The following is a 27,775-nucleotide window of genomic DNA, read 5'->3' as shown; positions in this document are numbered from 1 at the left end:
CCGCGCCTGGCTTGTTTATGCCTTTTTTATGCATTTCAGAATCATCTTTTGAATCACAGAAAACTAACTGGACCTGTAAAATAGCCTTTGGTTTTTCCCATGTTTAAGCAAACCTTAGTCACATCTCTCATTAATTAAATCCAGTGATTCTGACAGATTGGGAAGCAAGTTTGAAAAAAGCTACCCATAGGAATGCATAGTGAGTAAGATGATTCAGACCATTCCCACATCAAACAATTCTATATCTTCCTCTCTTCTTTAAAATTTCTGTATTGAGCCATCGTTTCTTGCTCACCTTCAGTTTGAGAAAAGCCTTTTTTTTTTTCTATTTGTACTTCTGCTTTCTGCCATCTCTGCCTGCTTCAGGATCGTCTTCAAAAAGTTATCTCCTCTTTATGTTATATTTCTTCGTGTTCCTCTTAATAAACTTGTTTGTTATCTGCCTTTAAACAAAACAAAGCATAAAACAAAACTTTCCTCAGTTACTCTACTTTCAAGCTATAGTCCTATCCAGATCTCTCATTCCTTTTACTACCAAATTTATGGAGAAATATGATCTTTACTCACTTCCTGTAATTTCTAACTGGTTTTGGTTGTTGTTTTTAGCTTTTCTCAAAATGATCTTAAAAATAATTATTTGGTTATTACAGAAAATATAAAACAAAAATATAATCTATATAACACTGGACTCCTTTTTTTTTTTTTTTTTTTTACGGAACTGGAATCATAGGGATATTACCAAGTTGTTTTTTTTTTTTTTTTTTGCGTTGTATTATATTGTGAGCATTTCCTCAGTCATTTAGATACTCTTCAAAGATAACTTTTTTTTTTTTTGAGATGGAGTCTTGCTGTGTCGCTCAGGCTGGAGTGCAGTGGTGCGATCTCGGCTCACTGCAACCTCCGCCTCCCGGGTTCACGCCAGTCTCCTGTCTCAGCCTTCAGAGTAGCTGGGACTACAGGCACTTGCCCGCCACCACGCCCAGCTAATTTTGTTTTTGTATTTTTAGTAGAAACAGGGTTTCACCATGTTAGCCAGAATGGTCTCGATCGCCTGACCTCGTGATCCACCCGCCTTGGCCTCCCAAAGTGCTGGGATTACAGGCGTGAGCCACCGCGCCCGGCCTAAAAATAATCTTTTATGATGCCAGGTTTTATGATTGTTGGACATTTAAGTTGTTTTTAATTTCTTGCCGCAGGATAGAGTCCCAGGAATAGAATTATTTAGGTCAAATCGTATCAGGATATTTCATGCCATGTATATTGGGAAATTGCTTCTATTAAGTAATAATTTGTAATTTCACCAACATTTTGTAACAACACCTATATAACTTCAACCTGGCCATCACCAGATACTAATCACCCTTTTTTAACCTTTATAGCTTGAGAAGCAGATCATGGTACCTCTTTAATTTTTTTTTCTCTTCTGCTAGTGATGTTAATATTTTCCACATATTTGTAGGAAATTTTCATCTGTTTTCAAATTCTCTGTTGGTGTTCTTTTTCTAGTTATCTATTTAGGAATTTTTCTTAATTGTAAGAACTCTCCGTGTGTGTGTGTATGTCTGTGTGTCTGTGTGTGTGTATGTCTGTGTGTGTGAGAGAGAGAGAGAGATTAACTTTCGTGCTATTCGTGGGAGCTTTCCTGGTTGTTTAGTTTTCAGTTGTCAACTTCAGATCATTTAACCTACATATTTTTTCGTTTTATGTATCATTTCTCTCAATTTTTTTCTTTGGATTTCTTGAATTATTTGTTGTGCTTAAACAGTTCTGTCTTGAAATCAGTTAAATATTCTAGTACATTTCCTTATTTCTCTCTAGATTTTTTTTTTTTTTTTTTTGAGACAGAGTCTTCCTCTGTTGCCCAGGCTGGAAGTGCAATGGCACAACTTCAGCTCACTGCAGTCTCTACCTCCCAGGTTCAAGTGATTCATGTGCCTCAGCCTTCTGACCACACATCACACCTGGCTAATTTTGTACTTTTAGTATAAGAGACAGGGTTTTGCCATGTTGGCCAGGCTGGCCTTGAACACCTAGCCTCAAGTGATTCACCTGCCTCAGCCTCCCAAAGTGCTGGGATTATAGGCATGAGCCATTGTGCCCAGCCTGTCCTTCTAGATCTTTATTTCATTGAGGTGGTAATTATTTTACATTTAATTCTTTATTCATTTTGAAATATATTCTGATTTGTGGAATGATAACTGGAACTAGTTTGAATGTTGAAAAACAGTCTATTTTAATAATTTGTTGAATAAACTATACCTTTGCCATTGATTTGATGCTTCCTTTATTAAATATTAAGCTCTCTGCTTCACAGCTGTTTATTTCTGTTGCTTTGTCTATCATTTTTATTTTATGTTTTATTTTTGTGGGCACATTGTAAGTGTATATATTTATTTACTTTTTTTGTATTATACTTTAAGTTTTAGGGTACATGTGCACAACGTGCAGGTTTGTTACATACGTATACATGTGCCATGTTGGTTTTCTGCACCCATCAACTCATCATTTACATTAGGTATTTCTCCTAATTCTATCCCTACCCCAGCCCCCAATCCCCCAACAGGCCCCAATGTGTGATATTCCCCACCCTATGTCCAAGTGATCTCATTGTTCAATTCCCACCTATGGATGAGCACATGTGGTGTTTGGTTTTCTATCCTTGTGATAGTTTGCTGAGAATGATGGTTTCTAGCTTCGTCCATGTCCCTGCAAAGGACATTAACTCATCCTTTTTTATGGCTGCATAGTATTCCGTGGTGTATATGTGCCACAGTTTCTTAATTCAGTCTATCATTGATGGACATTTGGGTTGGTTCCAAGTCTTTGCTATTGTGAATAGTGCCGCAGTAAACATATGTGTACATGTGTCTTTATAGTAGCATGATTTATAATCCTTTGGGTATATACCCAGTAACGGTATTGCTGGGTCAAATGGTAATTCTAGTTCTAGATCCTTGAGGAATCGCCACACTGTCTTCCACAATGGTTGAATTAATTTACACTCCCACCAACAGTGTAAAAGCGTTCCTGTTTCTCCACATCCTCTCCAGCATCTGTTGTTTCCTGACTTTTTAATGATTGCCATTCTAACTGTTGTGAGATGGTATCTCATTGTGGTTTTGATTTGCATTTCTCTAATGACCAGTGATGATGAGCATTTTTTCATGTGTCTGTTGGTTGCATAGATGTCTTCTTTTGAGAAGTGTCTGTTCATATCCTTTGCCCACTTTTTGATGGCGTTGTTTGTTTTTTTCTTGTAAATTTGTTTGAGTTCATTGTAGATTCTGGGTATTAGCCCTTTGTCAGAAGGGTAGATTGCAAAAATTTTCTTCCATTCTGTAGGTTGCCTGTTCACTCTGATGACAGTTTCTTTTGTTGTGCAGAAGCTCTTTAGTTTAATCAGATCCCATTTGTCAATTTTGGCTTTTGTTGCCATTGATTTTGGTGTTTTAGTCATGAAGTCCTCGCGCATGCCTATGTCCTGAATGGTATTTCCTAGGTTTTCTTCTAGGGTTTTGATGGTTTTAGGTCTAATAATTAAGTCTTTAATCCATCTTGAATTAATTTTTGTATAAGGTGTAAGGAAGGGATCCAGTTTCAGCTTTCTACATATGGCTAACCAGTTTTCCCAGCACCATTTATTAAATAGGGAATCCTTTCCCCTATTTCTTGTTTTTGTCAGGTTTGTCAAAGATTAGATGGTCGTAGATGTGTGGTATTATTTCTGAGGGCTCTGTTCTGTTCTGTTGGTCTATATATCTGTTTTGGTACCAGTACCATGCTGTTTTGGTTACTGTAGCCTTGTAGTATGTTTGAAGTCAGGTAGCATGATGCCTCCAGCTTTGTTCTTTTTGCTTAGGATTGTCTTGACAATGTGGGCTCTTTTTTGGTTCCATATGAACTTTAAAGCAGTTTTTTTCCAATTCTGTGAAGAAAGTCACTGGTAGCTTGATGGGGATGGCATTGAATCTATAAATTACCTTGGGCAGTATGGCCATTTTCATGATATTGATTCTTCCTCTCCATGAGCATGAGCATTCTTCCATTTGTTTGTGTCCTCTTTTATTTTGTTGAGCAGTGGTTTGTAGTTCTCCTTGACGAGAACTTCACATCCATTGTAAGTTGGATTCCTAGGTATTTTATTCTCTTTGTAGCAATTGTGAATGGGAGTTCACTCATGATTTGACTCTCTTGTTTGTCTGTTAATGATGTATAGGAATGCTTGTGATTTTTGCACATTGATTTTGTATCCTGAGACTTTGCCGAAGTTGCTTGTCAGCTTAAGGAGATTTTGGGCTGAGACGATGGGGTTTTCTAAATATACGATCATGTCATCTGCAAATAGGAACAATTTGACTTCCTCATTTCCTAATTGAATACCCTTTATTTCTTTCTCCTGCTTGATTGCCCTGGCCAGAACTTCCAACACTATGTTGAATAGGAGTGGTGAGAGAGGGCATCCTTGTCTTGTACCAGTTTTCAAAGGGAATGCTTCCAGTTTTTGCCCATTCAGTATGATATTGGCTGTGGGTTTGTCATAAAATAGCTCTAGTTATTTTGAGATACGTTGCATCAGTACCTAGTTTATTGAGAGTTTTTAGCATGAAGAGCTGTTGAATTTTGTCAAAGGCCTTTTCTGCATCTATTAAGATAATCATGTGGTTTTTGTCATTGGTTCTGTTTATATGATGGATGACGTTTATTGATTTGCGTATGTTGGACCATCCTTGCATCCCAGGGATGAAGCCGACTTGATCGTGGTGAATAAGCTTTTTGACGTGCTGCTGGATTTGGTTTGCCAGTATTTCATTGAGGATTTTTGCATCAGGGATATTGATGTAATATTCTCTTTTTTTGTTGTGTCTGCCAGGCTTTGATATCAGGATGATGTTGGCCTCATAAAATGAGTTAGGGAGGATTCCCTCTTTTTCTATTGATTGGAATAGTTTCAGAAGGAATGGTACCAGCTCTTCTTTGTACCTCTGGTAGAATTTGGCTGTGAATCCGTCTGGTCCTGGACTGTTTTTGGTTTGTAGTCCTGGACTGTTTTTGGTTTGTAGGCTATTAATTATTGCCTTAATTTCAGAGCCTGTTATTGGTCTATTCGGAGATTCAACTTCTTCCTGGTTTAGTCCTGGGAGGGTGTATGTGTCCAGGACTTTATCCATTTCTTCTAGATTTTCTAGTTTATTTGCTTAGAGGTGTTTAAGTATTCTCTGATGATAGTTTGTACTTCTGTGGGATTGGTGGTGATACCCCCTTTGTCATTTTTTATTGTGTCTATTTGATTCTTCTCTTTTCTTCTTTATTAGTCTTGCTAGCAGTCTATGAATTTTGTTGATCTTTTCAAAAAACCAGCTCCTGGATTCATTGATTTATTTGAAGGGTTTTTTGTGTCTCTTATCTCTTTCAGTTCTGCTCTGATCTTAGTTATTTCTTGCCTTCTGCTAGCTTTTGAATTTGTTTGCTCTTGCTTCTCTAGTTCTTTTAATCGTGATGTTAGGGTGTCGATTTTAGATCTTTCCTGCTTTCTCTTGTGGGCATTTAGTGCTATAAATTTCCCTGTAGGTGTATATATTTAATGGGGTACATAAGATGTTTTGATACAGACATGCAGTGTGTAATAAATCACATCATGGAAAATGGGGTATTCATTCTTTTTGTTACATTCTAGTTGTACTCTTTTATTTATTTATCTTTTTTCATGTAATCTTGCTCCTTCTAACACTTACAGTCTTCTGGTTAGATTTGTCTATCATTTTTGTGTAAATATTACACTTTAATATAGCTTTATAATATATTTTAATATCTGATAGGCCAAGTCTTCTTCCTCACTGCACCCACACACATTATTCCTCTTTTCTTTGATAGTCTCACCTACTTATTCTTCCAGATACATTTAAAATTATGCTGTTGTTTTTCAGAAAAAAAAATCCCATTGGTATTTGATTGGATATTCAATAAAACTCTCATGTAGAAAAAGCAAAGCACCATCATAATCATCATTCTTCCCATTAGTAATTATAGTATGTTTTCATTTATTCTGAGACCCAGACATTTCTTGTTTGTATATTTCTAGGTGTTTTATTGTTTTATTGATATTCTGAATAGGATTTTTCCCCCATTACGTTTTCTAGGTTTTTCTCTTTTTAATATTTACTTTGTTTACAAACACTGAAGTGAATTCTCTTATTGATTTTAAGCATTTTATTGTCTGTCTCAGGATTTGTCTAGATATATAATCATTATCTACAGATAATCTCCTTTCTAGTAGTTATGCTTGTCTTTGCTTATATCACGTCTTATTGCACTGACCAGAACTTGCAGGATAGTGTTTAATAGTATAGTAACAGTGGACATCCTTGTCTTTCCTGATTCTGATGAAAACAACTCTTCTGTTTCATCATTAAGGAAGATATTAGTTATTAGTTTTAAAAAGATAATTTTTATTGTGCTGAAAAAGTACCCTGTTTTCTAGGAGTTCTTATATGGAAAGGATGTTAAATTATATCAAAATTATTTTCAGCATCTATTCAAATTTTCATATAGTTTTGATTTTTTAACTAATTGGTGTATATTGTATTTTAATATCACTAGACTGCTAATATCAAATGATATTTGCATTTTTGAGCTAAACCCTGCCTGATCTTTTGGCTTCTCGTTGTGTTAGATTTACCAGAATTTCATTTTGAGTTCGGTTATAGTCCACTATTAGCAGATTATGTAGTTATTTTTTGTCCTGTTCCTGTTATGTTTTTAGAATTGAGGTTATACCCAGCTTCATAACATGAATATTATCTGTTGCTTAAAGTTTTGGAAGAAATCATAACATTTCTAATTTTTCTTTCAGTTTGTTTCATCCTTATTACTCTTTCCAGGTTTTAGCTCTTGGGAAAATTTTACTTTTTGTTTTGTTTTGTTTTCTATTTTCTAAAAATCCATTTCATTGAGACTTCTAAATAGATACTAGTAGAGATTCATACATGGTGTTATAATTTTTATTAAATTTTCTTTTTCATTTTAGTTTTTTGTGGTTTTTTAAAATTTTCTTGATGCAGACAATCTGCTCAGTCTTTTCAAAGAAACAGGTCCTAATTTGTTACATTCTGTTATGTTCTGTTTCTAACTCATTATTTTCTGTTTCATTATTTTCTTTTTTATAAAGTTTATTTCCTTTTTCTTATATCTGGAATTGATTTCTATTTATCTTTGTTTCATACTTTATTATTTAACAATGAAATAATCTTAGGCTGTAAATTCACCCCCTTCCCCCCCCCCCCCCCACCCCACACACACACACACAGGATGGAGTTTTGCTGTTGTCACCCAGGCTGGAGTTCAATGACATGATAACGGCTCACTGCAACCTCCGCCTTCGGGGTTCAAGTGATTCTCCTGCCTCAGACTCCTGAGTAGCTGGGATTACAGGCATGCGCCACCACGCCCAGCTAATTTTTGTATTTTTAGTAGAAATGGGGTTTCACCATATTGGCCAAGCTGGTCTCGAACTCCTGACCTCAAGCGATCTGCCTGCCTCAGCCTCCCAAAGTGCTGGGATTACAGGCATGCGCCACTGTGCCCAGCCTAATTTTTGTATTTTTAGTAGAGACGGGGTTTCACCATGTTGGCCAGACTGATCTGTAACTCCTCGCCTTAGGTGATCCACCCGCCTCAGCCTCCCAAAGTGCTGGGATTACAGGTGTGAACCACCATTCCCAGTCCCCCTCCTGTCCACTCCTGAAGTCTCAGCTTAAACATCACTTTATATGGAAAGCTTTACCTTAATCTACTCCTATGCTTCACCTTCCTTCCCAGACTATGTTTGAATCTCCTTCCATATGCTTTCACAGAACCCTGTAGCATGTCCCTGTCATAGCATTTATCATATAGCATAGTTATTATTATCATTATTGTTTAGCTATTCTTATTCTTTCCAAGACGGTTATAAGAACTCTCTAAGTAGTCTGTGGGTTCTCAATTCTGATTGTTCTCCATAACAATATATCTTGGTACTAGATGGTCAAGTCCTTGGGAACAGGAATCATACCACTTTTTCTGTCTTGCTTACCTCAGAACTACCTAGCTCCTACCTCTACTGCTATACTGAAACTGTCTTTCTGAAGGTTAGCATCCTGACCATCAAGTCTAAAGTTCTTTTAGTCCTCACCAGCCTCATTAATTTATCTGATTAAATTTAAATTTAACTTCATAGGTGTGTTTTAAAACTAGAGCAGTTTTCGATTTACAAAAGAACTGATAGGAAAGTACAGAGTTTCCATATATTCTCCATTCCCCCTGTAGAGTTTCCCCTATTATTTACATCTTACATTAGTGTCTGAAGTCCAAAGTTTACATTAGGGCTCATTCTTTCTATTGGTTTTGATAAATGTGTACTGACATGTATCTACCATTAGCGTATCACACAGAATAGTTTCACTGCTCTAAAAATCTATTGTATATTAAATCCCCTATATTAAATATCTAATATTGTTATCTATTTTGTCTTTTTAAAATTCTCTCTGATCATTTTAAAGTCCTCTGCCCCAACTTCTATGACACTAAAATTACTCAGTTCAACTCCTAATTCTCTAATTATTCCAGGTCTTCACTGGTTCATTTTCTGTTTCTTACCTTCATAACATAGGTATCTCCCTCATTTTTCTTTTACCTGCCTCTCTACTATCATTTCTAGGTCACATTTCTTTTCAAAATCGGATCTTCCTCCTGATGGTCATATTTATGTTTAGAAGTACCCTTTCAGAGTTACCCAAATTTGACCATTTCCCTTTCCCTTGCCTTTAGGTTTTCATAATCATGATGTCCATTCTTCTTTTTATCTCTCAACTCTGTCTCTTCTTGCCTTTACCGCTCCCAACTCATTGATTCATGTCCTTATCACTTCTTTCCAAGACAGTTTTAACAACTGTCTAAGTACTCTGTGGGATCTCATCTCCTGACTCTTCCCCATCTAGACAATCCTGACCACTAACATAATCTTTCTAATGTTAAAATTTGATGTTAATGAGAACACTCCTTAGTGACTCCGTAATAATGCCTGGCCAGACTCTTCAGTCTAGAGCTCAACCCATACCAGCCATCTTGGCTATTCAGTTTATTTAAATTACCTTATGCTTTTTTATTTCTTGGCTCCTGCTAAACTGCCTCCGTTCTCATACATACCTTGAATGAATTGTGGTATGAATACATACCTCAATTCTCATACAAACCTCCATTCTCATGCATACCTTGAAGGGGAGACATTGCCTTGAGTCAGCATACATTTTTTTATACACTACATTAAATGAATGCATGACATTTATTTGTTTGCTTTTTAAAAATAATTTTAAAGAAAACTACATAGTTTTTTCAATACAATGAGCTCAAGTAAGAATTCATTCTAATTACATGACAGTAAGACAATTTTTGAGCTTTCCTCTTAAACCAGGAAACCTGGAAACAAACCTGATTACTTGTCTAGGGAGGACTAGGGCGGGAGAAAATGAAAGATTACTTTGTTAACAGACTTACCTCACTAGACCATTTATAGATTCTTTATTTTCTTTGCCTAGACTAATTGTTTCCTATTCCTTGTGGTTGAACCACCAGAGTTTTAAATTTCAAATCACAAAATGATATGTATTATTATTTTATTGCAAGGTATATACAGGGATTTAGAAATGCTTAAAACTTGACAGATGTCACTTTGAGTTTTCCAGTAGTGAGCTAATAATATTTTGCCAGTACTATACATATTCTTATAGAACATTTGTAGTTGCAAGTTCACTAATTTTAACTATTTTTTCTAATACATTTGCCTCATTATTCACTATTGTGGTGCATATTAATCTAATGACAATATAAAACATTTTAGCAGCCATAGTTAGTAAGGAGAAAAATAAGAAGGAGTAGTGAAAGATTAATTGACATAAAGGGCAGCTGAACTCTGCTTCTCTTTTATTGCATTTTAAAGATTTATTTTCTGTTTTTTTCCTATATGGCACATATACTTCTCTCACCTTTTAAATTTATATAGTATTAGATGAAGATTTCTATCCAGCTCTTCTCAATTTTATAAATTATTATTTATGAGCTCTAATTGATAGCCCTTTACCTGAAGAAGCAAAAACACTGAGTTTTTTTTCTTTCACAATTAGAATTTACACTTAATAGATGCTTTCAAATTAAAATTTTAATATCTTGACTGAGACATATTTTACATGCAATACAGTTAATTCATTTAAAGTGTACATATTTTTAGTATATTCACAGGGTTGTACAACTATCACCCCAATCTCATTTTTAGATTATTTTAGTCCCTCTGAAAAGAAACCTGGTATCCATTACCCACCAGCCTTTCTTTCCCCCCAGCCTTAGATAACACATATCTACTTTCTGTCTCTATAAATTTGCCTATTCTGGAAATTTCATATAAATGGAATCAAATAATATGTGGGTTTTTGTGGCAGCTTTTTTTTTACTTAGCATGATGATTTCAAAGTTCATTCACGATGCAGCATGTTTCTACTTTATTTCTTTTTATTACCAGAAAATATCTCATTATATTGATAAATATTTGTTTATCCATTCATCAGTCGATGGACATTTCAGTTGGTTTCACTTTTGGGCGAATATGAATAATGCTGCTGTGAACATTCATGTACAGTTTTTTGTGTGGACATGTTTTGAATATATACCTAGGAGTAGAATTGCTGGATGATATGATAACTCTCTGTTTCACCATTGGAGGAACTGCAAACTGTTTTACACACCAGCTGTACCATTTTACCTTCCCACCGATGGTGTATGAGTGTTACATACTCTCCATGCCCTAGCCTACACTCGTTATTGTCATTCTTTTTTATTATACTCGTCTTAGTGGATATAAAGTGGAATCTTGTGAGTTTGTGAGATTTTTTTAGTATTGCTTTTTCCTGTACAGCTTTGATCAGCCTAAAATATCTCATGATTTTGATTTGCATTTCCCTAATGACTTATCATGAGTATTTTTCATTGCTATGATAATTGACTATATATATGTTCTTTGAAAAAATGCCTATTTAAATGTGTACTGGGTTGAATTGTATTCTCTCAGAATCTCATGTCCACCCTGAAACTCAGAGTGCAATTTGGAAGTAGAGTTTTCAGAGTTATGATGAGGTCACACTGCACTAGATTTGACCCTAAATCTGATTACTTGTGTCCTTATAAGAAAGCCACGTGAAGAAACACTTCTGCATACACGGGAAAGATGGGTATGTAGAGATGGAAGCAGAAATTGTAGTCATACAGCCACAAGCCAAGAAATGCTGAAGAATTGTCAGCAACAGCTAGAATCTTAGAAGAGGCAAGGAAGGATGCTCCCCTAGAACCTTTGGAAGGTGCATGGCCCTGTCTATGCCTTGATTTCTGACTTTTAGCATACAGCACTGTGAGAGAATAAATATTTTTTGTTGAAAGCAACCTAGTTTGTGTAATTTGTTACAGAAACCCTAGGAAAATAATATAAACGTCTTTGCCTATTTTTTAAATTGGGTTATGTGACTGGGCGTGGAGGCTCACACCTGTAATCCCAGCACTTTGGGAGGCCAAGGCAGGTGGATCACATGAGGTCAGGAGTTCAAGACCAGCCTGGCCAACATAGTGAAACCCCGTCTCTACTAAAAATACAAAAATTAGCCAAGCATGGTGGTGCACACCTGTAATCCCTGTTACTCAGGAGGCTGAGACACTAGAATCGCTTGAACCCAGGAAGCAGAGGCTGCAGTGAGCCAACATCGTGCCACTGCCCTCCAGCCTGGATGACAGAGGGAGACTCCATCTCAAAAAAAAAAAAGAATAAAATACAAAATAAAATAAAATTGGTCTTTTACTATTGACTTTAAAGTTCTTTATATGTATGTTCTAGATACAAGTTCTTTATCAGATATATGATTTGCAATTTTTTTCTCATTCTGTAAATTGTCATTTCACTTTCATGATGGCATCACTCATAGCACAAAAAATTTAATTTTGACAAAGTTCAGTTTACCTATTTTTATTTTGTCACTTGTGTTTTTGTGTTGTATTTAAAAAGACCTTGCCTAGGCCGGGCACGGTGGCTCACACCTGTAATCCCCGCACTTTAGGAGGCCAAGGAGGGCGGATCACGAGGTCAGGAGATCGAGACCATCCTGGCTAACATGGTGAAACCCCATCTCTACTAAAAATACAAAAAATTAGCGGGGCGTGGTGGCGGGCGCCTGTAGTCCCAGCCACTCAGGAGGCTGAGGCAGGAGAGTGGCATGAACCTGGGAAGCGGAGCTTGCAGTGAGCCGAGATTGCGCCACTGCACTCCAGCCTGGGCGACAGAGCAAGACTCTGTCTCAAAAAAAAAAAAAAAGAAGAAGAAGAAGAAGAAGACCTCGCCTAATGTAAGATCCTTTGTTGTTTTTTATTTTTTGTTTTAATGAGTTTTATAGTTTCCGCCCTTACATTTTTGATTTATGAGTCATTTGATTCAATTTTTTATATGGTGGAAGAGTCTGACTTCTTTTTTTTTTTTTTTTTTTTTGAAACAGAGTTTCATTCTGTCACCCAGGCTGGGGTACAGTGATGCAGTCACAGCTCACTGCAACCTCAACTTCCTGGGCTCAAGTGATCTTCCTGCATCAGCCTCCCAGGTAGCTGGGACTGCAGACGCATGCCACCACGCCTGGCCAATTTTTAAATTTTTGTAGAGATGAGGTCTCACTATGTTGTCTAGGCTGGTCTTGAACTCCTGAGCTCTAGCAGTCTTCCTAACAGCCTCCCAAAGTGCTGGGATTACAGGCATGAGCCATTGTGCCTGGCCCCAACTTCATTCTTTTTCATGTAGATATCTCGTTGTCCCAGTACCATTTGTTGAAAACACTATTCATTGAAATGTCTTGATACCATTATCAAAAAGCAATTAACTATAAATATGAGTTTATTTCTGGTCACATGATTCTGTTCCACTGATTTGTATGTCTCATCTTACATCATTACTATGAGTGCTTTGATGACTTTTGTAGCAAGTTTTGAAATCAAGAAGTATGAGTTCTCCAATTCTATTCTTTTTCAAGATTGTTTTGGCCATTTTGGGTCTATTACATTTTCCTGTGAATTTTAGGATGAGCTAGTCAATTTCAGAGGGTTTTTTTCCTGTTTTCTCTTTTTCTTTTTTGTGGAGATAGAGTCTCACTCTTTTGCCCAGCCTAGAGTGCAATGGCATGATCAGAGCTCACTGCAGCCTGGAACTCCTGGGCTCAAGTGATCCTCCCACCTCACCTCATCCTCCCCAGTAGCTAGGACTACAGGCATGTGCCACCATGCCCAGCCAATTTTTTTTTTTTGTAGAGACGGGGTCTCACTGTGTTGCCCAGGCTGGGTGTTTTTCTTTTTCCTTTTTTTTTTTTCTTTTTTGAGATGGAGTCTCGCTGTCACTAGGCTGGAGTGCAGTGGCATGATCTCAGCTCACTGCATCCTCCACCTCCCAGGTTCAAGTGATTCTCCTGCCTCAGCCTCCCGAGTAGCTGGGACTACAAGCGCACGCAACCACACCCAGCTGATTTTTGTATTTTTAGTAGAGATGAGGTTTCACCATGTTGGCCAGAATGGTCTCGCCCCCTCTATCTCTTGACCTCATGATCCACCCGCCTTGGCCTCCCTAAGTGCTGGGATTATAGGCATGAACCACCATGCCCGGCCCCAGGCTGGTCTTAAACTCTTGGCCTCAAGTAGTCCTCCTGCCTCAGCCTCACAAAGTGTTGGGATTACAGGCATGAGTGACCACACTCAGCCAAGCTTGCCAATTTCTATTTCAAAGGCAGCTGGGATTTTGATAGGGATTACATTAAATCTGTAGATCAGTTTGGGGGATGCTATCATCTTAACAATATTAAGTCTTTAGGCCCATGAACATGACTTTTTTTTAATGTAGATCTTTAATTTCTTTCAACAATGTTTTATAATTTTCAAAATATAAGTTTTGCACTTCACAGTAAATTTATACCCAAGTATTATTCTTTTGGGTGCTATTATAAAAGAATTTTTAAAATTTTGTTTTTTGTTTTTGGCTTGTTTATTGCTAGTGTATGGAACATCAGTTTTTGTGTATTTGATCTTATATCTTGCAGCCTTGCTGAACTTGTTTATTAGCTCTAATAGCCTTTTTAGCGGATTCCTTAGGATTTTCTATATAAAAAGTCACCTCATGTGCAAGTCAGATATTTTTGCTTCTTCCTTTCTAATCAAATTATTAATTCAATGTCTTCATTTGTTATAGGTCTATTCGGGTATTCTGTTTCTTTTTAAGGTTGGTTTTAGAAATTGTGTCTTTTGGCCAGGCGCAGTGGCTCACATCTGTAATCCCAGCACTTTGGGAGACGGAGGAGGGCGGATCACAAGGTCAGGAGATCAAAACCATCCTGGCTAACACGGTGAAACCCCATCTGTACTAAAAATACAAAAAATTAGCCGGGCGTGGTGGTGGGCACCTGTAGTCCCAGCCACTTGGGAGACTGAGGCAGGAGAATGGTGTGAACCCGGGAGGCGGAGCTTGCAGTGAGCAGAGATCACACCACTGCACTCCAGCCTGGGCGAGAGAGCGAGACTCCATCTCAAAAAAAAAAAAAAGAAAAAAATTGTGTCTTTCTAGGAATTTGATCATTTTATCTAATTTAATTTGTTGGCATACAAATGCTTATAGCATTTCCTTATAATATTTTTTATTTCTGTAAAATATATAGTGGTGTCCCTTCTTTCATTCCTGACTGTAGTCATTTTGAGTCTTTTTTTATTGCTTAGTCTAGCTAAAGATGGTTAATTTTGTTGATCATCTTAAAGAGCCAACTTTTGGGTTCATTGATTTTTTTCTCTATTGTTTTTCTCTTCTATTTTATTTATTTCCACTGTAGTCTTTATTATTTTCTTTTCTTTCTTCTGCTTGCTTTGAATTTAATTGTGCTTTCTTTTTTTCTTTTTTTTTTTTTTTGGAGACAGGGTCTCACCGTGTCACCCAGGCTGGAGTGCAGTGGCACAATCATGGGTCACTGCAGCCTGGAACTCCCAGGCTCAAGTGATCCTCCCATCTTAGCCTCCCCAAGTAGGGGCCCTGGGACCACTGGTGTGCACCATCACACCCAGCTGGTTTTTTTCTTTTTGTAGAGATGGGGTCTCTCTGTGTTGCCCAGGCTGGTCTCGAACTCCTGGGCTCAAGCAGTTCTTCTACCTTGGCCTCCCCAAGTACTGGGATTACAGGTATGAACCACTGTGCCAGTTTTGTAAGGTGGAAGGTTTGGTTATTGGTATGAAATCTTTTTTAAAACTTTTTGTTCTTTCATTCTGAAAGGAGGTGAATGAAATCTTTTTTAATAGAGGCATTTAGATCTGTAAATTTCCCAATGAGCACTTCTTTACTTACAGGCCATATTTTCATTCATTCTCTCTTTTTATTTTCATTTTTTATTTTCATTCATCTCTAAGTATTTTCTCATTTCCCTTGAGATTTATTCTTTGACCCACTGGTAATTTAGGAGTAAATTGTTACATTTTCACACATTTGTGAATTACCCAAATTTTCTTTCATTGATTTCTACTTTCATTCCATTGTGGATAAAAAATATACCTTGCATGATTTCAAATCGTTTAAATTTATCAAGACTTGTTTTTTTTTGTTTTTTGGTTTTTTTTTTTTGAGACGGAGTGTCGCTCTGTCGCCTAGGCTGGAGTGCAGTGGCGCGGTCTTGGCTCACTGCAACCTCTGCCTCCCAAGTTCACGCCATTCTCCTGCCTCAGCCTCCCAAGTAGCTGGGACTACAGGCACCCCCCACCGACGCCTGGCTAATTTTTTGTATTTTTAGTAGAGACGGGGTTACACCGTGTTAGCCAGGATGATCTCGATCTCCTGACCTCGTGATCCACCCGCCTCAGCCTCCCAAAGTGCTGGGATTACAGGCGTAAGCCATCGCACCTGGCCAAGGCTTGTTTTATGGTCTATCCTGTAAGTTGTTTCACATATGCTTGAGAAGAATGTATTTTTTGCTACTGTAGGATAGAGTATTCTGTAGATGTCAGGTAGGTCCGGTTGTCATATTATTGTTCAAGTCTTCTGTTTCCTTGTTGATATTTTCTAGTTGTTCTGTCCATTATTGAAAGTGGGATATTAAAATCTTCAACTATTATTGAGGAAATGTCTGTTTCTGCCTTCAGCTCTGTCTTTGTTTTGCATCATGTATTTTGGGGCTCTGTTTTTGGGTGCATATATATTTGTAATTTTCATATTTTCCTGTTAGGTTGACATTGTATCATTATGAAATATCTCTATCTCTAACATTTTTTGTTCTAAAGTCTTACATTAGTATAGCCACTGTAGCTCTGTTGGTTTCTATTTTATGGTACTTGTTTCCATTCCTTTGACTTCAACTTTATCTGTGTCTTTGAATCCAAAAATATATTGTTGGTTGGTGTTTGCTTGGTCATTTGTTTATTTTCTAACAACTTGGTTTCCCCCCAGTAATTAGCCTCTGATCTCCATGCTCAGATTTTTTAAAAATTGTTTTTCTTTTAGCCTGGCTAATGAGGGGTCTTCCCTGGGTTATCACGTACTTATTGGTCAAAGTTTGTGCTTAGTCCCCTTACCAGTATGATTTTTTTCCCCTTACCATTTGATTTTTATCATTTACTGTTGGATGTGTGTGGCTTGGAGGCTACTATCACAGTTTAGAGTGTTTATGTTTTTTTTGTCCCACATGCACCAGGAGACTAATAGCTTGAAGGTTCACTCCTGATTACTCTAAAGAGGGTACATCCTTGGGTATGCACACGGTCTTCCAGACTGCAAGGAATGACTGGATGTTATTTTTAAGTCTTAGCTTCCCAGGAGTCGACCCTGAGTTCAGGTTATTCAGTGCCAGTGAGGATTTACCTTGTTTTGATAAGTCTCTGTGTGACTTTGGGAATGCTTTCATGTCTGTCCGTCCTACATCTTACTCTAATTGTTCCTTATTGGGTGCAGCCTAGTGTATGTGCACAGGGTTTTTGAACTCCAAAATTGACTGTGATCCCCAAAGGGTCCTTCTTGGCTGTCTCGTTTCCTGATTCTATTAAAGTTCTGTCTGTTTTGCTTGTCATAGGGCTGCCAGCTTCTCTTAATTGCTTTCCTCCAAGCTCTGTTGCAAATAATGTCAGCCCTTTCAGGCAGAACTGCTACAGAGTTCTTTGTCCTTATAACCTGCTTTTCACCTTAGGCAAAACCTATCTCTCACTACAACCTGACCTGGGGTCACGGACCAGCTTTTCCTGGAGTGGCAGTGTCACTCTACAAGTCAGCACTTGGGAGGAGTTGGCAGTCCCTGGTCTTAGCTCGCTCTTCTGGCAGAATCTCTACCCTATGAGCAAGCTAGAATGGGGAAGATTGAGACTCTCAACGTTTTGTTCCTGGAGCTTCTGCCCTAAGAGAGGGAGGGAGGGAGAGCAGACCTGGTTCTTTCAGCCACACCTATCTAAAATAGATCTTCTGTAACATGGGGCTAGAGAAGGATGAGAAATGCCTCTAGTAACCTGTCTCTTCCCTGATGAAGCCATAGCTCCAGATTGGAAGCTGGAGAGAGAGGGAACCTCTGTCTTCTAGGCCTGAGTAGAATGCCCAGGGCAAAACTTCTGCAACATTGAGCTGAGGGAGTGGGGCAAGGAAACAAGTTGTAATTCATATATCAAAAGCTCTGTGTTGTTACTGAGATTTAGTGAGTTTCCTTGAATGAATATTTCCCTGTTTGCTCTATGACTTTAGGACAATATACAGGGACTTTAAATAATGTTTTAAATTTTTTCAGCAGATAAGCTGTGTTTTGCTTGGGAGAGAGGCTGTGTAGACCCTTATTCTGCAGCTTTGGAAGTCTACCCAACCCCAAATCATATTTTACTGCTTACACTAGCATATCCTACTGATACATCTGACGCACTGAAAGTTTGCCTATGTGCTCATCACCTAAAGTAAAATATTCCATTATTGAAAGCAGCTAAAACATCTTTCTTGCTGATATTCAACCCACTATCATGATTTGGTAACTTACTCCAGACGTGTGGGAAAATTTGGTTGTCAGACTAAATTCTTTAAAGAACTTTAATCCTTATTTACTTGTTGTTGCAGGGTTTTTTTTTTTTTTAATTCCTACATGGTATAGTAGTGAAAACTTTACTAATGGTCTTAAAGTTTTTTAACCCAAGCTTTGTTAAATCAACCTAAAGTAAATGTAGCATGACTTAGTTAGCTTGGAAAGCCAAATTTCAAAGCTAAATTTCAAACAAGAAATGTGCTTTTATAAACATTTTTAATTTTAGAGAGGACTAAAAATAAAATGTCTAAGAACTTGGCTATTACTCCATACAGTTTTATATTTGTAAACCAAGCTGCATAACTATGCTTTCATCAACAATGGACCACATATATGACAGTAGTCTCATAAGATTATAATACCTTATTTTTGCTGCACCCTTTCTGTTTAGGTGTATTTACACACACACATACTTAACAGTATGTCATAATTGCCTACAGTATTCCTACAGTAACATGTTGTACAGATTTGTAGCTTAGCAACAATAGGATATACCTGATAGCCAAGGTTGTGTAGTAGGCTGTACCATCTAGGTTTATGTGAGTACATCTATAATGTTCACACAATAACAGAATTGCCTAAAGACACATTTCTCAGAATTTATCCCTGTTGTTAAGCAACACATAACTGTGTGTGTTTCTTCTTCTACCTCGTAAGTACTTTGAAGGATTGGGTCCTTTCTCACTCATCTCTGTACTCCTACTTAGTTCTAAAATGCAGTCCCTTCAACCATGGGATTCGGCTACATTGCAAAACAGACAACTCTTAAGATGCTTATGTATTCACACCTATGTGTCCTTCCTGATGCTCTTTCTCTTCATTTGTCAAATCTTTCTTACCTTCATCTAACTCAATTTTATCTTCTCCTTTAAGTTTCTGTTTTTGCAGTCAAAAGTGATCGTGCCTGTCTTTTATTCTAATGGCAATTTTGTAGTAATTTTTTACTTACATTGCATTTATATCTCCTTCTGTAGACTATAAGATCTAATTCTTTTTCATCTTTTTATTGCTACATACTTTGTACATAGAACTTAATTGTTGGATGAATGAGTAGATAAAATAGTGATTAAATTAATGGTGTAATCTTTTGTTTTATAGCCGAGAGACACACAAGATTGCAGTATTTTATGTTGCTGAAGGACAAGAAGACAAACACTCCATTCTCACCAATACAGGAGGAAGTCAAGCATATGAAGATTTTGTAGCTGGTCTTGGTTGGGAGGTATTATTTTTAAATTATACGAAATATTTATATTTGGAAGCATAAGCTTATTTTTCTTTTTTTTCCTAGCTTATTATAGAAGTATTATTTTAGGAGATACAACAACTTAACAACTAGTTTGTTATTGTTTCTGCCTTCCATTTTGTCTGCACATACAGCAGCAGTTGGGACTTTGAAAGGAAAGATGTTGACTATTTTATGAGACAGTATATTGTGAAAGAGTACTAAACTCATAGGTTTATAAGATCTGGATTTTCCTTACAGCTGTGACCACTGGACTGGTGGTCTTCAAACTAGGACCTAATGGCTACACAAAGGCTTTCCAGGAATGTGTGGGTATACACAGTTTTGAGGAAATTAGCTTCCAGATCCTCAAGTTTACCAAAACTAATGCCAGAAAACCCTTCTACAGTCTCTTGTCTCTCATTTACTTTGTAAAAGAAAAGCATACTGCTTACCCATCCCAAATCCTACATTGTCCCAGAGGGTTTTAGCACCAACAAAATAGACAGTTCTAGTGGGTATACTTTTAGGAGAAAGTCCCTGTCAGCAAAGCAAGAAATATTGAAAGGTATTATACTTTATGTCATTCAAGAAACCAACCCATGTCAAGGTTCCTGTACCAAATCTGTCTGTCTTAGAATTATAACTCAGAAGGTGGGTATTTGTCATAAGGATTTGTATAAGTATGTTTATTTGAATTGAAAAATGAAGTACCAGACATGTTCTAACAGAAAGTAAATCTGATGTGGGTAATTGGCTTGTGATCAGTTTAATACCAGACATTTTACATATATTGAATCAGCCAAATCTGTAGCTCCAAGATTTTGATGAAAATACACTTAAAGCACATATATTTATTATATAGTACACTGGAAATTGTATCCTTGGCTACCATTTAAACTTTTGATAAAAATTATTATTACAGTTTTCAATTTAATAGTTTTCCAAAATTGCTATAGAGAGTATATGAGCAAAATTGTTAAAGAGCACTGCATTAGACTATAAGCTTCTAGAGGGCAGGCATTTTCATCTCAGTGATTTTTTTTTTTAATTCTCAGTGCCTTTCACAGTGTCTGATATGTCAGCCTTTAGTGTTTTATATAGATTTTTATGGCTAATCTAACCTATTTTTTTATTATTTTTTCCTTGGGATACATAGCTTATTTATAAATGTGTAGTTTAATTTCAAAATATGTGAGTTTTTTCTAGATATCGTTATTGATACCTAATTCTATACCATTGTGATCACAGAATATACTCTGTAAGATATCAGTATTTTGAAATATAATATAACCCAGTATAGGTACCCTGTTCCCTTGAAAACAATGTGTATACTCTGTCGTTATTGAGTGTAATGAACTAGGTATGTCAATTAGGTCAAGGTGGTTGTTGGTAGTATTTAGATCAGTATGTTTTTACTGACTTCATTTCTTTTAAAAATTTTTATTGCTACATAATAATTGTACATATTTATGTGGAACATATAATTTTGGTAAGTGCATACAATGTGTAGTGATCAGTTCAGGGTATTTAGGATACCCATCACTTCAAACATTTATCATTTGTTTGTGTTGGGAACATTTCAAATCTCCTCTTCTAGCTATTCTGACATAATATATTATTGTTAACTACAGTCATGCTAATGTGCTATTGAACAGTAGGACTTATTCCTTCTATCTCACTATATGTTTCGTATTCATTAGCCAGCCTATCTTCATCTCCACACCACAACCACCACCTTCACCTGCCTCTGGTAACTGTCATTCTATTCTTTACCTCCATGAAATCAACTTTTTTAGCTCCCACATATGAGTGAGAACATGTTATGTTTGTCTTTCTGTGTCTGGTTTATTTGTCTTATAATGACCTCCAATTCTATCCATGCTTCTGCAAATGATAGGATTCCATTCCTTTTTATGGCTGAATAGTATTGCATTGTGTATGCATACCACATTTTCTTTATTCATTCATCTGTTGATGGATATTTACGTTATTTCCATATCTTGGCTGTTGTGAATAAAGCTGCAATAAATATGGCAGTGCAGGTATCTGTTTGATATACTGATTTCCTTTTCTTTGAATAAATACCCAGTAGTGGAATTGATGGATGATATTAACCTGCTGTTTTACCTTAAGTGAGTTATTTAAGCTCTTTTTGCCTCTTTGGTTATTTGTCAAACGTGTAGTATACTTTTTTACCCAACAGAGATGATGTGAAGTTCAATTGAGCTTATGTATGTGAAAATGCTTTGAAAAGTATAAAAAACATCCTAAGTAGATTTTCTGTTAAAAAAAGTAAAATACCATAAAAGTATTAGTAAAAGTAAGGGAGACATGAAAAAGAACAAGTTAGGAAGATTTACACTTCTTGATTTCAAAACTTACTACACAGCAATGCTAATCAAGGTAGTGTGGATAGATCCTGGGGCAGAACTTAGGAAAAAGAAAAAGAAGATAGTGTGGTACTGCTGGTACAAGGATAGACATATAGATCAGTGGAATAGAACTGAGAGTCCACAAATAGACCCCATATTTGTGGTCAGCCGTTTTTGACAAGGGTGCCACAACCATCCAATGGAGAAAGAATAGTCTTTTCAACAAATGGTGCTGAGACCATGAGCCATATGCAAAGAATGAAACCAGACTCTTACCCCATACCATATACAAAAATTAACTCCAAATGGATCACAGACCTAAATGTTAAGACCTAGAATTTTAAAACTTTAGAAGAAAATATAGGAATAAATCCTCATTATCTTGGATTTTGCAAAGGATTTTTAGATAAGACACAAATCATGAGCAACAAAGACAAAACCAGATAATTGTACTTTATTAAAATTAAAATTTTTGTGCTTCAAGGTGAAGTCTGATAAGAGACTAGTATCTAGAATATACAAACTAGTTGTACAAATCAATGATTAGAAGATACCCAACTAAAAAATGATCAAAGGACCTAATAGACATTTCGCCAGAAAAGATATATGACCAATAAGCACATGAAAAGGTGCTCAACATCCTTTGCTGTCAGAGAAATGCAAATCAAAACCATAGTAGGTATCATTTCACACCCATTAAGATAACTATAATCAGAAAGTCAGGTAATAACAACTGTTGGCTAGGATTAGGAGCAATCTGAACCCTCATACACTGCTAGTAGGTATGTAAAATGTGCAGCCACTGTGGAAAACATTCTGGCAGTTCATCAAACAGTTAAATGTTGAGTTGCCATGTGACCAAACAGTTCTACCCCCAAAGTATATACCCAAGGGAAATGAAAGCATATGTCCATGCAAAAGCCTGGCCATGAATGTTCTTGGCAGCATTATTTACTCTAGCAAAACGGTAGAAACAACCCAGATGTCCATCAATGGATGAATGGCTAAACTGTGGTGTATCCAATAAAAGGGAATATTATTCGGTCATAAAAAGGAAGAAAGTGATTATGTGCTACAGCATGAATGTACCTTGAAAACATTGTGCTAAATGAAAGAAACCAATCATCAAGATCACATATTAATGGTCCATTTATATGTAATATCCACAATAGGTGTATTTATAGAGACAGAAAGTAGGTTAATGGTTGCTTAGGGCTAGTTAAGGGCATGAGGGAGGAGGGGGGTGACAACTAAAAGATATGGGGTTTCTTTGGGAAATGATGAAGATGTTCTATAATTGACTGTAGTGATGATTGCACTTAACTGTGAATATCCTGAAATCCATTAAATTGTACAGAGGAGATTTCCACTTCTGGGAAAGTCAAATAGATATACTTTCTGTATTCTTCCTACTGAGTACAATAAGCATAAGACATTACATATAAAACAAGCATAAGAAGACTCTGAAAGATGGAGAAAAGACAGAATAACTAGGGACTTTAGGACGGAAGAATGACATAGTGGCGCATTTTCTGGGTTTTCTTTTTTGCCTCATATATCCCAGACTTGGAGCTGAATAAGTCAGCAACCTAGAAACACCAATGGGTGCAAACAAAAAGCACCAACCAAAGCCTGCTCTTCCTAGCCAAAGGACCAGGAAAGGAGCAACCTAAAAAGACAGAAAAACATTTAGATAATAACTGCACTACTGTAGCCAAACACCACAGACAATTCCTTGACCCCATCCCCAACCTCACAGCAAAGGTCAGGTAAGGAGCCTAGACTTCCATCTTCATGAGGCTGTAATGAGGTGCCCCCAACACCACACTGGGCTAGTATCAAATAGTGCCAGAGAAGGCCAAGTAGAAATCCAAGACTTTCATGTCTACCAGTTGGTAATGAGTCTCCCATTCACACCCAAGAGTCAGTGGAGACTACATGGGAAATGTAGAATTCCATCGCCACCAATATTACTGAGGCACCTGCTGTCCACTGGAGTCATTTCAGAGGAGGCCTCATGGAGAATTGGGACTTTTACCATCACCCAGCAGTAGTGAGGTCACCCTTACGACTGTGTCAGTGAACATCACATAGGAAGCCAGAACTCCTGCTTCCACATATCAGTAATGAGGATCTTCCCTGTTTCCCAGGTGTCAACAGAGATTGAGTAGGGAACATATAATTTTACCTCCACCTGACAGAAACAAGTCAGCACTTTCACCTGATTCTCTGCTCTTTTCCCGCATACAGCAGAGTCTTCAAACAACCAGCTAAAACAGGAATTTTAAATAAGATCCAGAGTCTTATGAAAATGTGTACATTTCAATAAAAAATTACACATCATATCCAGAACCAGGAAAATCTCAAAATGAATTTTAAAAAAAGACAGCAGATGCCCACACCAAGATTACAAATATTTAAAACAACCTTGATAGAAATGCTTCAGTAAGTAATTGGTAACACAATTGAAACAAATGAAAAATAGTCTCAGCAAAGAAATAGAAAATGTAAAGAACAACCAAATGAAAGTTTTAGAGTGAAAAATGTAATAACTGAAATAAAAGGCTATGTAGTTGTACCCAACAACCAAGTGGAGTGGGAATGGGGGTACAGAAGAATCAGTAAACTGGAAGATAAAACAGTAGAAACAGCCTAAACAGCACAGAAAACAAACTTAGGCTGGGCATGGTGGCTTACACCTGTAACCCTAGCATTTTGTGAGGCTGAAGCTGGAGATTGCTTGAGCCAGGAGTTTTGAGACCAGCCTGGGCAACATAGTGAGATCCCATCTCTCCAAAAATATACAAAAATTAACCAGGTGTGGTGGCAGGCAACTGTGATCCCAGCTACTTGAGAAGATGAGATGGGAGGATTGCTTGAGTCCCGGAGGTGGAGGTTACAGTGAGTAAAGATCATGTCACTGCTCTCCAGCCTGGGTGATAGAGCAGACCCTGTCTCAAAAAAAAAAAAAAAAAGAAAAAAAGAAAAAGAAAAAAAAGGAAAAGAAAAGAAACCTAAAAATAATGAACAGAGCATCAGGGACCTGAGGGACATTAACAAAAAAAAAAAAAAGTCTAGCATTCTGTTATCTGAGTCCAAGAAGGAGAGGAGAAAGAGCCTGGGTCTGAAAAAGTACTGGAAATACTTGAAGAAAGTGCTGAAAACTTCCTAAATTTGGTGAGAGACATAAAGCTGTAGATTCAAAAAGGTCGGTGAAACCCAAACAGGATAAATCAAAAGAAATCTATAGTAACACACATCATAATTTAATTTCTGAAAGCTAAAGACAAAAATTCTTGAAAGCATCCAGAGAAAAAGTGTACCTTATCTGTGGGGGGAAACTATTAAAGAGATAGCAAATTTCTTATCAGAAACTGTGGGAGCCAGGTGCTGAAAGAAAAAAGAACTGTCAACTCAGAATCTGTTTTTTGTTTGTTTATTTTGTCTGTTTGTTTTGAGGTGGAGTCTCACTCTGTCATTCAGGCTGGAGTGCAGTGGCATGATCTCGGCTCATTGCAACCTCCACCACCTCCTGAGTTCAAGTGATTCTTGTGCCTCAGCCTCCCGACGAAGCTGGGATTACAGTCATGCGCCACCACACCCAGCTAATTTTTTTTGTAATTTTGGTAGAGACAGGGTTTCAACATGTTGGCCAGGCTGGTCTCAAACTCCTGTTCTCAGGCAATCCTCCCACCTCCCCCTCCCAAAGTGCTGGGATTACAGGCATGAGCCACTGTGCCCAGCAGACCCAGAATCTGATAGCTTGCAAACATATCCTTCAGGAATGAAGAGAAGGTCAAAACATTCTCAAATGAAGAGAAACTTAGAGAACTTGTTACTAGCAGACCTACCCTAAAACAATCACTGAAAGCAGTTTTATTAATAGAAAGGAAATGATAAAAGGAGGAATTTTGAAACATCAGGAAGGCAGACCATGGCAAGAAAAAAATGGATAGATACAATCACTGTGCTTTCTCATCTTGAGTTGTCTTAATTATTTTTGACTGTTGAAGCAAAAATTATAACACTGTCTAATGTGTTTTCAAATATATGTAGAGGAAATATTTATGACAACTATATTTCAAACAGGGATGGTAAAGGAACATATAGTAAGGTAGGGTTACTTTACTTAAACTGGTAAAATGACAACACTAGTAGGCTGTGATAAGTTATGTATATATAATGTAAGACATAGAGCAACCACTACAAAACTGTACAACAGTGTACACTCAAAAGAATGATAGTTAAAAACAGAGTTCTAGAAAATGTTCAAGTTAGCCACAGGAGGCAGGAAAAATAAAACAGAGAAATGAAAAACAGAAAACAGAAAATAAGATGGCAAGCTTAAGCCCTAACCTGTCAATAATTACATGAAATATAAATGATCTAAATGTACCAATTAAAAGACAGAGATTAGCAGAGTGGATTAAAAAATATGACCCACCTATGTGTTACCTAAAAGAAACTCACTTGAAATATAAGAATATAGGCTGGGCACGGTGGCTCATGCTTGTAATCCCAACACTTTGGGAGGCCAAGGTGGGCAGATCACCTGAGGCCAGGAGTTCGAGACCAGCCTGGCCAACATGGCGAAACCCCCTCTCTACTAAAAGTGCAAAAATTAGCCGGGCGTGGTGGCAGACACCTGTAATCCCAGCTACTCAGGAGGCTGAGGCAGGAGAATTGCTTGAACCCAGGAGGCGGAGGTTGCAGTGAGCCAAGATCACGCCACTGCACTCCAGCCTGGGTGACAAGAGCGAGACTCCATCTCAAAAAATAAATAAATAAATAAAATATATATATATAAAACAATATAGACTGGCAGAAAGTAAAAGGATAGAAAAAGTTATATTGTGCAAACATCAATCAAAGAAAAGCCAGAGTGACTGCATTAATATCAGATCAACTTTAGAGCAAAGAGAATTACTGGAGACCAGAAGGACATTATATAATTATAGAAGGATCAGTTCACCAAGAAGACATAGCAATGCTAAATACATGTGCACCAAATAACAGAGCTACAAAATATGTGACACTAAAGCTGATAGAACTGAAAGAAGAAATAGAGAAATTCACAATTATGGTTGGAGACTTCACTCCTCAACAGTTAAGAGGAAAACTAGACAAAATCAGCAAGTATATGGAGGAATTCAACAACAGCAGCTACCAACAAGATCTAATCTACATATGTAAAATATTCCACCCAACAATGGCAGAATATACGTTATTTTCAAGTTCCCACAGAACATATACCAAGACAGATCATATCCTGGGCCATAAAACAAGCCTCAACAAATTTAAAAGCATTGAAATAATAGAGTATGTCCTTGAACCCCAATGGAATCAAACTTGAAATCATTAACAAAAAGATAACAGGAAAATCTCCAAACACTTGAAAAGGTTACATCCTATGTCCTTTAATTCGTACAACATTCTTGAAATGATAGTTATAGAAGTGAAGAACAGATGAGTGAGTGATTGCCAGGGGTTAAGGAGGGGATAGAGTAGGAGTGAAGTGGGTATGGCTCACATAAGAGGGCAATATGGGGGATTCTTGAATTTTTGAACATGCTCTCTTAACTATATCAATGTCGTCAGTATCCTGGTGGTGATAGAGTTTTGCACTGGGGGGCTCTGGGTAAAGTGTACATGGGATTTCTTTTTATTTTTTTCATTTCTTCATATGACTCTCCAGATGTTTAATTTAAACAATAGAGATCAGCAAATGTGAAGTGTTTACAGCAAAGGAACACTAAACTGAGACTTTCTCCTTTACATTATCAGAGAATTGACTTGAAAATAAGTAACTTTCTGAACTAAAGTAAAACAAAACAAAAAATCTACCTGGAGATACCATTTGTCACCTATCAGATTAGCAAAGATCATAAAGTGTGATAATATACTATATTTCAAAGGCTATGAGGGAAACGGGCATTCTCATACATTGTTGGTGGCATCTGTGGAGGGCAACTTGGTAGTGTGTTTTGAAATTAGAAGTCCACATGCCCTTTGACTTAAAGTTTCACGTTTAACTATTTGTCCGTAGCTGTACTTTCACAAAT

General features: G+C 37.1%; 1 protein-coding gene across 22 annotated transcripts in view; it reads left to right on the top strand.

Moving 5' to 3' along the window:
* Positions 1-27,775, top strand: part of RALGAPA1 (Ral GTPase activating protein catalytic subunit alpha 1) — a 270,940-nt gene that overhangs the window by 184,375 nt on the left and 58,790 nt on the right. For all 22 annotated transcript variants that reach the window (NM_194301.4, NM_001346246.2, NM_014990.3 and 19 more), the window contains one exon: positions 19,212-19,335. In NM_194301.4, the coding sequence (NP_919277.2) occupies positions 19,212-19,335 (124 nt within the window). The remainder of the gene's footprint in view (positions 1-19,211; positions 19,336-27,775) is intronic.

The sequence above is a fragment of the Homo sapiens genome, chromosome 14 (assembly GCF_000001405.40).
Source record: "Homo sapiens chromosome 14, GRCh38.p14 Primary Assembly".
NCBI lineage: Eukaryota > Metazoa > Chordata > Mammalia > Primates > Hominidae > Homo > Homo sapiens.
The sequence above is the reverse complement of the archived record's forward strand: the minus strand, read 5'-3'. Positions and strand labels throughout refer to the sequence as shown.